The sequence below is a fragment of the Homo sapiens genome, chromosome 3 (genome assembly GCF_000001405.40).
Source record: "Homo sapiens chromosome 3, GRCh38.p14 Primary Assembly".
Taxonomy (NCBI): domain Eukaryota; kingdom Metazoa; phylum Chordata; class Mammalia; order Primates; family Hominidae; genus Homo; species Homo sapiens.
In genome coordinates, this window is record NC_000003.12 from 173730701 (window position 1) to 173745373 (window position 14673).

Here is a 14673-nt window from a genome sequence, read left to right on the forward strand (position 1 = left end):
ACGCTGCAAATAAAAAAATGAGGAAATAGGCAAATTGTTTTCTCAACTATTCCAATATAAAAACAAAATATAGTTATTTATTAAAAGGTCTTTCTTTTAAATAGAACAAAATGTTTAAAGCTTACTTACGGAACATCAGATTTGAGCACCTGTAGAAGATAATAAAATCTCTGATATATTCTCTTTGAAAATAATTGAGGAAATAATATTTTCTAACTTCAGAATTTTAAAGAGAAAGCAAACGTATCAATCTGGGCAAGGCTTCAAAGAGGCCATGATATGTGCCTTGAGAAATCCCTTGGCCATCACCAAGGGGCTATTCTGTCTCTTGGAGCGGCTCTGCAGAATAATTTTACCGTATAATCTGTGACTGTTTTCATTCCGATATCATTCACATAGAGTCTTAGATGACAATTTCTCTTTTTCTAGGGAAAAATTTAGTACTATTTTATGCATAATGTAAGTTGTGTTATTACCAGATTTTTAAAGGAAATAGGTTTTTGAAACCCTTAGTTTCATTTTATTCTTGAGTTCTGATAAGTTGTATACATTTGTTAATTAAACATGACCATGAAACATAGCAATAAAATCTGAAGAATGGAAAGAAAGATGGAGTTACTTTATAATTTTGTTTCTAATATTTTGTAAAATCATTTAAATATAAGATGGACTGTATTCAATTTCAAGTTTTTATTTTGGAAATGCACAAATCGTATAAAATATTAGGACTTTGGATCCAGGTCCCACTAATATTGTGAGTTTCCTCATTATGAAATGGGAAATACTACCTTTTCTGCAGAACTATTGAGAGGATGAGATGAAATAAATATGTGATAAATAGTATTGTGTAGCTATTACAGCAGGCTCTCAGTAAAGGTTAGTTATCCTTTCTTCTCTACCACAATTACTGCTTCCTTTTGTTTTAAAAAATTCAGGTTCCTTCTTCAATCTGAAAAACAGCATGAGAAACATTTTTCATTATTGCATAAGGAAACCAAAAAAAGAAAAATACAAATTCTGTTTAAAAAATAATTCACCTAGAACAATATTCTGTACCTATAATTTACATAGAAATATAAATATATAAAGGAGATGTGCAAAATGAGATGGATTTAGGTTCTTGTATTATGACTGAGTTCAGGAAGTGGTCAAAAAATTAAAAAGACATTTTTTGTAAAGAACAATACTGCTCTTTGCTAACAGAGTAATGAAAAGATAAACTCACTGAGGAATAAAATCATAATCATTATGGTGTTAAAATAGATGATGTATATTTTTATTAAGAAAAGTACAAACTAAATTGTTGTTTACAATTATTTTCAAACATACCTCTAATATACCAGTGGTTAGGATAGTATTTTAAGGTAGTTAAGATAAAATATTATCTCTCATTTAAATTGCTTAAACCCCCTTCACTAGGACCTTAAATGCCCCAGTAGGACATCTTAGCATAACTAGATGTTTTCCATCTTTTAATTACTATGACTAATTTTTTACAGCTGAGTTACAAAACCTTGAAAATAATGAATATGGTGACACATTCTTAATTATAATGGTGCAAACAGCACCACTCTGATACAGTGTGAGGCTTACATTGAAAAGGAATTTCCCTGGAATTGAAGCTCCTCTGATTGCTTTCCACATCACGTTTTAAACAAACACTGTGATGCTTTAGCCATGACTTGGTTGCCTAGGATACACAGTTAATGTAGCCCTAAGATGCTGCTACTAGTTAGGCTTTGAGGCCGTGTCTGTAAGTGCTGCACATAGCTGCTTTTAATACATTAGAAACATTTATGTAACAGGGACACTTTGCGGCTGGGTTCGGGGTGGGTAGTTGCAGTTTCATTCATGAGATAACCAGCTGTATATTTCAGTAGTTACAGTGAAAATAGTTATTTTTATTTTAGTTTAGGTTAGTTTTTCTGTGAAAGAGGCAAAAAGTGACGGTTTTTTAAACAAATGCAAAATTGATTCAGTGACCTAATTCTAAGACACATTCTCAAAGAATTAAATTTTCATTGTTGAAGAACTGGAAAAGGTAACTAGCTAAATTACAGTGAGTCATTTCTACAAGCCTCTTCATTTGATAGTGACTTTTATTAGTAGATGTTTATTTAGTCTGTGTGGTAAAACATATCAGTTTATTTTTATTAAGATATTTGAAAGTTTCATGTATTATAAAATTATTATGATAATAAAAATAAACATTAGCAAGATAATGTTTGTAACAGTAGTTAATGAGAGTATTGGTGATGAACCACAGAAATATATACAAATATGGTATGTACAGATTATACCTTTTATATCAAAAATTATCTTTCAATTTTTATAACAGTACATTTTTAATGTTTTTGGTTTAAATACGAGATGGAAATATAAAGCTGGTTATACATTTTAGCAAAACAACTTAAATCTGGTTTTAAAAATCAGTAGTCTTCTTGCTTCATTCCTATGAAAACTTGAATTGTCTTCTTGGCTGATTGGAGTTGTTGAGTGAGTGGGAAGATCCAATTTGAACCAGCAGGTGGTGCTTGAGTTATAAATGCATTTAGAATAGATATTTTTTTGAAAATCTTGCAAAACTTTCAGGAATGGTTGTTCTTATTTTCTATTTTATAGGGGTAATTACATTTTAGAAGGAAAATCTCATTTAGAGCTTCTGAATTATCACTGGAATTGATAAGCTTAATGCCTTTTCATTCCTTCTCTCTTTCCCTTTCCCTTTTCTCTAATCATTGTTCCCTTTTCTGCAGTAGCTTTCAGCAGCTGTACTGTCAGGGAGGAAGGATACACTCTTTTCTCCACAACAGAGGGCCTGGGTGGTGAAAGTGGAAGATACTGTTCCAGGAGAGCTTCAGGCATATTGCCTGCAAGTGTACCACTTTTTCTCCTGGGTAAGATTCAAGGAGGTTCCTAACTTCACCTTGAAATCTTGGTGCATGTTTATGACACCACTTTTCAAGTTCACTCTTCTGTATATAAACCATTTTTGCTGTGTATTAGAATGCAGCTCTCTTAATAGTGACTAATTTATTCAGTCTTCAAAAATGCATATGGTCCCAAAGGTAATAAAATTATGGCCTTTGACATTTGTCACGGGGGAGGAACACTGTTTGTGTAAAAATTCCTGCAAAAAAGCATTGTCCATACCACCAAATTCAACAAGAAAATAAAAACATTGTTTGATGGATAGTGCATTTTCAGTTTAGATGTACTAAATCTAGTGAATGAGCATAAAACCTAAATGACTAGGTTTTATGTCATTTGACATATCAAATGACAAAAGATATAATATTACCGGTTATCTAGTGTTACTTCTTTCTGTGAGCACATCAAGTAGACTTTGCGGTTATATTTTAATTATTAAATACTAAAGCTAATGAAAGTCCTGGATGTCTGCTATTCCTGCAGAAATAATCAGAAAGCATCTTATAATTACATTTTTTCATTTTAGGAAATTCCTTTATTGGTTTTGTTAATAACATTTGGTTTTATAATATTGATGGCTTTAGAATTATGATCATGTTAAGGCCTTAGAGCCTAATTTATTTGGCTGATCACATTTCTGACATTTTAGTTCAAGATAATAAACACTGTATATTCCTAAAGTGACATGCATGTTGTGTTTTCAGTCTATTGAGAATTATATCAGATAATTAGATTCTGTGGATAATTCTATTTTTTTTTTTTTTTTTTTTTTTTTTTTTTTTAGAAACAGGGTTTCACCCTGTGGCCCAGGCTGAAGTGCAGTGGCTCAATCATAGCTCATTGTAGCCTCAAACCCCTGGGCTCAAGTCGTTCTCCTGCCTCAGTCTCTCAAGTGGCTGGGACTACAGGAGTGTGCCACCACAGCCACCTAATTTTTTATTTTTTATTTTTTGTAGAGATGAGGTTTCACTATGTTGTCTAGGCTAGTCTTGAACTCCTGGCCTCAAGCAAATCCTCCTGCTTCTGCCTTCCAAAGTGCTAGGATTATGGGCATGAGTCACTGCACCTGGCCTTATTAATTCACTAGTAACAAGCAATCTGAATAAATCACATTTTTCCCCTTAAGAAACTCTTTTTCTTCTATTTTTCCTCAGTAGGAATTTTCCCTGACAAAGTTAATATCTTCAACAAATTATTGCAATTGCTTTTTTCTGAACTCTGACTCAAAGTGATCAGGACAATTGGTATTAGCAACGGCAGAATAAAGAGCATGGAATAATGGATCTTTTCTTAGATTATGTACAGGTCTCCATCTTTATGACTAATGTGGCACAACATTCTTCTCTGCAAAGGTTTTTCTTTTTCCTTTAAGAATTAAACTTAATGCAGTATTTGTCAGTTATAAATCCAGCTATGCAAATAAGGGTCCACTAGGACTCTGAAGAAGGGAATGAACTTCAGTTGCCCTTATGAGCTCTATTAATTTGCATGTCCATAGTAATATTCCAGTTTCCAGGTTCCTGTAACTATGTATGGGCATAAGATACAAAAAGTAAGATGATTCACTCAAATTCCAACTACTGTTTTAAAAAGTAACAACCAAAATGCAAAGTTCTAGCAATATTTAGTCCAAAAAGTGAATATTTTGTTGTTTTAATACGTGGGAGTTTATTTTCATTCCTTTTCTCCCTTGCACATGGAACTACTGAAACACTTTTATTTTTTCCCAGTACATCTTTGGCCACTTGAATTTATAGAGAAGAGAAGAGCAATGTAAAATACTAATGAAGCAATTCTTTCTCACATTTCAGACTGCTGCAAATCAAACTCAAAGGATTAGGAAAAAGACCCTTCTTACAAGTTTATAAGACTAAAATTTCTTACTGGTTCATGAAATACATTTAACTTCTCATTCTTCTGCAACATAGAAAGCTGTTGTCAGCTGGCTGATTTCTTGCATACCAGGCCAACTCTTCTGTCTCAAATCTGCATAGAGATAAGTTTGGAGAGGAGCAGAGTCCCTTTGGGGATGAAATTTGCTTTTGCTATTTTTGTTATTCCTTTTTCACAGGAGGCTGTGTAATAATTTTCTGCCTAGGGTCTTGAAATAACATTAAAGATTGACAATTTGGTTAGACTTGTCACTCTTAGGGCCAAAGTTGACTCATATTGCACAAGGGACTGGTGACATTCACATAATTTTTTTAAAATACCTTTTGCATATAAATATTATTTTTCCAATTACAGGTGGCATTTTGAAATGCTTTTTTGTGTTGTGAGTCATTCAAACATGTTATAAAAATATATATTTTATCTTTGTATCTTCATGCTTTCCTTGAGGGTGATTTTGGTTTTTGGAGTAGCTCTTAGAAACCTCTTTCTCAGGCAGACACCAAGCAGATGGAAGCACAGAAAAGTTGGAAGACTTCATGTTTGGGAGGTAGGCACAGACTGAAGGAAGTGGATGCCCTAGGTTAGAGACAAGATAACAGCATTGTGAGAATAGAGTAAAAATGAATTCAGCTTGATTCGTTTCTAGCTTTATGTTGGCTACTTAATACAGTATATAGAAGTGAGAATGCTTTCTACCTACCTTCTTTTCTTTCTCCTTTCTTCCTTTCTCCACTTCTTACTCACAGAAGTGAAATTGCTGATTGATTTCTGTGCGTAAGAAAGGAGGAAATTTTTCCCGTCCCCCACTCTCCTTCCACCAGTCCTACAAATGTGATCACTAAGTTTAGGAAAAACATATGCACAGTTTGTGTGTAATGTTCTGGGAAGCATGAAGTCCAGGGGAATATGCTTTACAGATGGCTATGCAGAACCAATATCAAAAAAAATGGAGGGGAAATATAAACATAGAAGGGGACCAGAACATAGTTGTAAGATGAGATTCAGCCTTCTGACTTGTTTTTTATTTCTGAACAAAAATTGTTCCTTTGTGACTTCTGATGAAGTCCTCCATCTTTTTAGAAGGGAGGCTTGGAGAGGGTTGCAGTATGAGAAAAGAGCCATTGCAGATAAAAAAAAAATAATTTTGTCTTGGAAATTCAAGTACCTACAAAATATTAAAGGTGCTAGTAAACCATTAAAGTGTAAAATAACCTTAAAATCTAAACCCAATTCACTTACAATATGATTATGACTTCAAAGTAGAAATATATATTTATATTTTTCATATACCTACCCACTAATGTTGGCCAAAATTGATCATTATTGATAAATTAAAACTATATACATTTGCATAATACCTCTGTTTAATTATGAGCAATATTGGTGCAGATAGTTTCAAAATGTAGCTGAGATTTTAATGGTGGCAGTAAATCAGAGATGTTCTACTTATTATTTCATTTTACCTACTCTAAAATGGCTGATAATTTTTACAAAGAATCTTTCTAATTATAGTAATATTACTAAACAGAACCCATTTTATTTAGTAGATCACATGATAAATGCAAAAGCAAAAATCCACTGGTAGTTTATTTGTAATTTAGGTCTTAACTACCTAGAGAAATAGAGTGAACATGTGTCACTTGAGTTTCCACACTAGACAACGAAAGACAACTTCCTGTATGATTGCTAATATAAAGCCTCCTCACTAAGAAAAAAAAAAAAGTTTTATTGAGATTTAATTTGCTTACCAGACAATCCACCTATTTAAGGTGTATGATTCAGTGGTTTTAACTATATTCACAGAGTTGTGCAACCATCACCACAATACATTTTGAAACCATCACCACAATTTTCATTACTCCTAAATGAAACCCCATACCTATAAGCAGTCACTACCCATTTCCTCTCAACCCCTCACCTCTAGACAACCATTAATCTGTGTCTCTATAGATTGCCTCTTCAAGACTTTTCTTGTAAACAGAATCATATGATATGCAACCTTTTGGCTTATTGTGTTAGTGTAATGTTTTTAAGATTAACTCACATCATAGCATGTATCAGTACATAATTCCTTTTTATTGCACAATAATATTACATTGTAGGGATATACTACATTGTATTTATCAGTGTCAGCTGATGGACTTTGAGTTTTTTCTACTTTTTGGTTAGTATAACTCATGCTCCTACGAACATTCATGTACAAGAATTTGCATGGACATGTTTTTATTTCTCTCAGATTGTCTACTTAGAAGTAAAAGTGCTGCACCATATGATAACCCAATATTTAACACTTTGAGGTACCAACAGACTATTTTCCAAAGTGGATGCATCATTTTACATTCTCACCAGCAGTGTATGAGGATTCCAACTTCTCTGCATCCTCACCAACACTTGCTTATCTGTCTGTTTTATTATGGGCACTTAATGAATGTGAAATCATATCTCATTGGGTTTTGATTTGTATTTCCCTGAAGGCTAATGATGTTGAGAATCTTTTGTGTGCTTGTTGGCCATTTCTATATCTTCTTTGGAGCAAAGCCTATTTGGATTCTTTGCCCATTTAAAATTTTTTTTTAAATTTTTATTATTGAATTGTAAGAAAACTTTATGTATTCTAGACACAAGTCTTTTATGAGATACATGATTTGCAAATATTTTCTTTCATTTTATGTGTAGTCTTTTCATTTTCTTTGTTGTAATCATTGTAATACAAAATTTTTAAATTTTTATGAAGTCCAGTTTATCATTTTTTTCTTGTTATTTGTGCTTTTGGTGTCATGTTTAAAAATGCGTTGTCTAGACCAAGGTTGTGAAATTTTACTATGTTTTCTTCTAAGAATTTTATATGTTTTGTCTTCTCATTTAGGTTCATAATCTATTTGGAGTTAATTTTGTGCATGGTGTGAGGAAGGAGTCCAAATTCATTTTTTTACATGTTGATATCCAGTTGACTCAGGACCATTTGTTAAACAACTATTCTTTCCCCAATGCATTTTCTTGGAACCCTTGACAAAAATCATTTACTATAAATGTGAAAAGGTATTTCTAGTTTCTTGATTCTATTCCATTGATTTATATGTCTACCCTTCTTCCAATACCACACAATCATGATTACTGTAACTTTGGGGTAAGTTTTGAAATGGGAAATTGTAATTCCTCCAACTCTGTTTATTTTTGAGATCGTTTTGGCAATTTTGGGTCCCTTGAATGTCCATATGAATTTTAGGATCAGATTGTCAATTTATGCAAAGAGAGTATCTGGAATTTTGATTAAAATGTGTTGAATCTGTAGATCAATTTGGAGAGTACTGCCATCTTAACATTCAACTGCAAGAGGCAAAAACATTTGATATTAGAACATGGAAAACTATAATTTGAGGTAGCTTAAGATAAGTGACATAAAAGATGTACAGTGAAACCCCCTTGCAGATTAAAAGGAGAAGGTTTTATCCATGGAGAAAGAAAAAGACTATTCATGGAGGAGGCTGTTCAAGAAGTATGACATAAACCTTGAGTTGTCTAGGATTTCATCAGGCTGTATTGGAAGAGAGGGGCATTGGTGAGAATATTCAAGATGGCACAAACAAAAGCTCCCCAAGCAGGAACTCATGAGTCGTACTCATGGAACATCAAACAGTTCAGTTTAGCTAGAGAATGGGACGTGTGAAGGAAAGTGGTCAAATATTCCGCTCGAATAAAGGAGACCACATTGTGGGGGCCAGAAAAGCCAGCTTAAGGGGTTTAGCATTTACTTGGTAGGCATTGCAGAACCTCCACAATATTTTGATTGAGAATATACTGTAATACTAGCTTGTAAAATCTGTTAGATGAAAAGCACATGTATCTGTAAATATTTTAACCCGAACAAAAGGCTACCAATGAAAGGTCCAGGCTGTGACAACTAACCTAGTAGATCCTCTTCTGGAAAACAAAAGGAAACATTGCTTATCTTGTCAACGGAAGGGGTTTGCTTATATTAATTCAGGATTTAATAGCAAGCTAAGCCATAGGGAGCTGCTGTCATAATGAAAAACTCCACTAGAGTCCTCCTGGAAAAGGTACTTCTGATGTAAAAGACCTCAGGGAAAGGTTTCTAGAGAATCCATAATTAAATGTCACATCATGGCAAGGGCAGAGGAAAAAAAATGACTCTATTTGGAAAATGGCAAAATATAAATGTCTGGTCAAAATATTTTCGTGCCTTATTTAAAATAAGGCTGACGTTCTTCCTAGTACTCTAGAGTTTCAGTTAACCATCCTCAGTAAATAAACCATTTGTTAACAAAACAAAGGTTGTAAATGCGCTTCTACTTTGCATGGCAAGATAATGCCCATGGAAATTCCTAATTTCTGGGTGGAATTCTTTCATTCTGAGTTGATGGACTGGAAAAAGCTTAACAGATTGCTGCACTACTGATTCATTTCCTAACAGACAGTTTAAACTATATTGGGGATGAGATCATTGTAACTGTTTTCCCATTTTCCCTAATTTAGGTTATTTATTTAAAAAAGAAAGAGTATAGGGGAGAGGAAACAAACCTTAGTTTAAATTTTGGTTGTGTAGCCTCAGAAGAGACTATTAAGATTCAAAAATAGATAATCCTTCCAGATGGGTCCAACTCATTGCAATAAGAACATAAAACATAAAGGACAGTAAATTAGCACACAGTACTTATCCCTGGAGTCTGCCATATGAGCTAACCAATGGAAATTACTGGTATATATGGAACGAGACAGTTAGTTAGAAGGAACTCAGTGATTTTGTGCTATATTAAGTCAAATCATACATTAGGGATAATAGAAAAATTATGAATTCTCTGTTATTTAACACTGGATTCCTACATTCATCACCTGTTTAAGCAAATTAAACAGTAAAAGAATGGACCATATTTTGCACATAGCACATTGTAGGATAGTATTTTGCACAGAAAAAATAAGGCTCTTTTGATCAAGTCCAGACCTGCCAATATAAAACCCATATCTTGGCCAAAGTTCTCCCTCATGCCCTCCCATACCCCTGTTCCAAAGAAGTACTGATTAGAAAGAGAAGAAAATAATTATAGACAAACAGAAAGAAAAATTTGAAGAAAGGAGTAAAAAAAATTACAGCGAGGTTTAGAAAGTTGAGAATATGCAAAAGAAAAGTTATGGTGACAGGCAATGACATCTAAAAGGAAAATGTGCTTGTTTTTGCTCACACCATAGTTTATAGGCAAGGAAGCAATCATGTGTTTAATTCTTGGATGATGAAAGATTTTGGAATTGAAAAATAAAAGGAAAGGATAAATTGTTCTCGAAAACTAGAAAAGCCATGCGTAAGGTGGAGAAGGTAAGGGCTTGCTAGCACTGACAAAGAAGGACCAAATGAAAGTAGATGAGATGTGAAATCAAGGAGTCAGACTATCTTCTGTGACAATTTCAAAGCCTACAGAAAAAACAGCTTTGACTTTATAAAACACGCAAAGTATTATTAGCATACAAAATTAAGCGTTTATGAAAACTCTTAGCATATAGGTATACAATTAGTTATCAGAATGCCTAAATACATGGAAGTTTGATTTAGTCAACATTTTATAAACTAATAGAACCTAAAGAAGATAGTTACCAGTACATAAGTATTACATCTTAAATATTGTTAGAATCAGTGCAGTAATAATCCATTAACTTGCTGCTTGGATTCCATTAAGTGGTATCAATTTTATTCTGTTGCCTAGCATGGCATCTGGCACAGAGCAGACAATCAAGAGCCATTTCTTGAGTTAACATATAATTTCTAGCCCAGGGCCATCATAGAAAAATTGATATTATAGACTTAACGCCCAGGAAATATTTCTTATATACCTACTATGTGCCAGGTAAAAGGGACACACTGATGTTCCAGGGAACTGATAGTCTTTGAAGTGGCATACATGGGCTCCTTAGCATCTTCCTACTAACTTGAGGTCTTCTATATCAGCTTTCTGGGTTTGTTTTTGTTTTTGTTTTTGAGACAGAGTCTCACTATGTCACTCAGGTTGGAGTGCAGTGGCGCGATCTTGGCTCACTGCAACCTCCACCTCCTAGGTTCGAGTGACTCTCCTGCCTCAGCCTTCCAAGTAGCTGGGATTACAGGCGTGCACCATCACACCCACCTAATTTTTGTATTTCTAATAGAGATGGGGTTTCACCATGTTGGCTAGGCTGATCTCGATCTCCTGACCTCAGGTGATCCAACCTCCTTGGCCTCCCAAAGTGCTGGGATTACAGGCGTGAGCCACTGTGCTCAACCATGCTATATCAGCTTTCTGACTCATGGAAACATAATCATGATCCAGCTAAGGAAGTACAAGTTACAAAGACTGAGAAAACGAAGAAAACTTCTGTCCCTGAGGAAACAGAATGTGTTCATACACTGCGTCCCCGTAATGTACGCTCCTTTGTTGGAAGCTGGCCTTCCCACCCCCTCTAGGCCCTCTGGTGAATAAGCAAAACCAGTCTCACTCTAATTTTTACATCAACTAAGTTGCAGAAATGTCAGTTCATTCTGTGATGTTCTCTATTTTTTTCTGAAATAAGATTTGTTTCTTCCTTCCCTCTGCTTTTCCAGGAATCCATTCTTCTCCTTCTCTCCAAGGATAACTATACTACAATTTCTTAAGAATGTATAGTATATCTATTTTCCCTTTACAAGGCTGCAGGCAGTTTTATTTTGAAACTAAAACTCATGGAATTATCAAGAAGGACACTGGGGAAGAAGAGAGAGGGATGTGATTAGGAGAACTCAGATTCTCTTTTAATATTAGGGCTGATGTCGCTGTACTAGGTAATAAATATGTAAATTTTCTGTTTGCCCCAATTGATTAAATGTAATTAACACCTGTTCTAAAATACTTTGTTTTCCTTAATGAAAAAAAGTGAAATTTTTTCAAGCTTCTACTATATTCTATACATTTTATATGCAATGTCTCAACCTTTATTATGATCTTTTTAGGTAGCTTGTATATTCCCATGTCATAGATGAAGAAGCTGAGTGTCAGAAAGATTAAGAGATTTCTTTAATTTCTTTCTTATGCCTAGATATATTATAGCTATATTCTAAGCCTTTATATTTTCCTTCATAACATGTTTTTGGTCATTTAAGAAAACAAGTATTTCATTTTTATATGACATTTTGATGCAACAAATTTCCCCTGAGAGTTCAGTCTACATTTCTTTTTTACTTTCGATTTGTGCTAGACATTTTTGCAAGGGAGCAAAAGTTGTAATTTGTTTTCCATGAAAGTGGCCCTGGTTTTTTCATATTAGTTGATGTTTTAGGGATGTGTTTCCATTGTTTATCCCTAAGAAAAGCAGAAAATACATTTCTTTCATGCTATTTTGTCTAAGTTATTCCTCCAGATTTGAGGGGGTTGTTTGTATTATGTCTATAAAATTATTTGCATGTACTTGTATTTAAATACATACACCCATAATCTTCAATATAGAGATTGCCTGGCTAGACCTATGTCTTAATAACAACTGCATTGCTACAGAAGGCCAGTGTAGGCAATTATTCGCTTTCCTCAATATGCTGAGGCTACCAAAACTTGCATGGAACAGCTATTGAGACCTTTCTCTTGATGGAAGTTTTCTACTGTTGACCCTTAAAGACTCATAATAAACTCACACTTCAGCAATAGATGGTAACAGTTAAGTTCTACGTTCTAAATTTGATTTATTTTTATCATTAATGTTTGATAATGGCTTTAATATTTAAAATCATGCAAGCATCTAACAAGTTGTAACATGTACGGAATTCTGAGTAGCTTGTCCTAGAGTGTAGTCTAAATTATGTTTTCTGTGAGAATGATTTCGTAGTGACTAAGCACCAGCAGCTCAAGGGACAAATACACCATTTACTCTATTATATTATATTATATTTTCTTCTTTGAACAGCTGCTACTTATTATTCATACTACTTCAGTGTCACTGTTAGTGCTTTCTACTATCTAATATATCACAGCATTTGCTCACATTTTTGCCTCTTTCACATAGAATTTGAGAAGAAAAGAAAAACAGGACATTTTCTTTTTAGAATTTCCTCTTTTTCTTCAGCCTTTGAAAATGGTATTGCTAACATTCTGTTTTCTATGTCTAAGTGGAAAATGTTTCATCCTTGCTGAGGTTACAGGGATGAAATAACAGTAGCAGCAAGCTACTGGCCTTTCATTGGACAGTTCGTTGGGGAGGGAGTGGGGATTGTTCAACTGACTCTGGAACTCTGGATGGGGTTCCCCATCTCTCCCTCAGGGTTAACTTCAGTCCATATAATTGCTTTAACTGCCTGCAGAGTTCAATGTTCAGAGACAGACACTTGGATTTCATTTATTCTAAGTTTAATGTTTTATACAGTAAAACATGTCAGAGGAGGCAGTTGTCAATACTCCAATTTCTGAACACTACATATCACAACTTTTTAAATTTAAAATGACTTTATAAATTCAGACAAATAACTCATTATAAATTCAAAATAACTAGTTAGAAATTCAGACAAATTTCTGTTACATAAAGATATAACATGATATAGTAAGGGAAGGTAAAAATTGCATGGATTGGGGCCAAACTAATCAACATTTATATCTGTGCTTTATCCACTTTAGTTATGAAACCTAAAACCATTAATTTTATTCTCTGAAATTCAATAGAATGGGAATAAGAAGATTCAACTTGAAGGGTTGTCATGAGAAATATATAACACATCAGAACAATGGATGCTACTCAATAGGTGTTCAAAAAGTGTTTTTCTTCCCTTCCTTTTCTTCCTCTTCCTTTACACAACATTTATTGAATGCCCAGACACTATGCTTAATTTAAGGAGGCAATGATAAGTAAAAGCAGATGCACTCTCTGCTCACTGGGAGCATATTTCCTAGTGAGGAAAACTATGATAAAGAAACAATCAAGAAAATAGTGAGACACTCTGACTGGAGCAGGTGCTGCAGAAAGGAGGGACAGAGAACAGCATATTTTAGAAGGATTTGAACCTGTCACAAAGATCTGGAAAGACTTCTGTGAAAAGGTAACAACGTAGCTGAGATCCGAGAGATAAGTAGGAGTTAAATAGGCAATATCTTCACTACCACCACCGTTAGAAAGCATGATTGTGTGAACACTAAGCTTCCTTTAATTGTTCAGAGAAGTAAAACCTGCCAAAAATTTTGTAAATCATTAAATTTTGCTATGTATCACATCCTTATCTTTCCTTCTCCCTTTCCCTATGATCTCACCTTTGGTTTCTTGTGGAGGCCACTGATTGGCAGTGGTACTAAAAAAGCTGTTATTTATTTATTTTTTTTTTGACATCTTTGTTGCTCTGCTGGGATGGATCTGATATATCTTATTCTGCTACCGTGTATACCAACAGCAGAATCACACTGATCACTCTTTGTCCGCACTGTCAACTTCAGTTGTTCCCAACATTGTTAATAGACCGCCTATCTTTCCTTGCACTTAACTGAAACTAAGAGGTACTGTTGGATCCATGATGCACATTCTTAATGGCTCATCCCTAACCAGAACTGATGAGCCTTCTGTATGGAGCAGACCGTGGCAAACAAGCACAATGGCAGTTGTTTTCATCATCTATTGTGAAGTGTCTATAGAACTTAGTGACTTGATGTCAGCTCTTGCCATATTTTCTGTGCTCAGAGATGCCTTGCTTGTGACTAATGTCCTCATTACAGATTGAATGAAGAAAAAAGGGAAACGGAGAGCAGATGACAGCCTTCCCCATCCACTGAAAGAACATTCTTTTCCTTTCTTATCTCCATGAACTCACCCCCAAAATGTTACCAGACATCATTTTTTTAAAGTAGTAGATCCTTGGAGATC

The 14673-nt window shown here is 34.3% G+C and overlaps 1 protein-coding gene and 1 long non-coding RNA gene across 34 annotated transcripts in view; one reads left to right on the top strand and one right to left on the bottom strand.

The window, feature by feature from the left end:
* Positions 1–14673, top strand: part of NLGN1 (neuroligin 1) — an 898421-nt gene that overhangs the window by 334749 nt on the left and 548999 nt on the right. The gene's annotated exons all lie outside the window — the stretch shown is intronic.
* Positions 676–5224, bottom strand: LOC105374225 (uncharacterized). The gene is made up of 2 exons (XR_924728.4): positions 5145–5224; positions 676–949 (listed from the first exon to the last, which is right to left on the bottom strand). It is a non-coding gene; the product is annotated as an uncharacterized LOC105374225 (long non-coding RNA).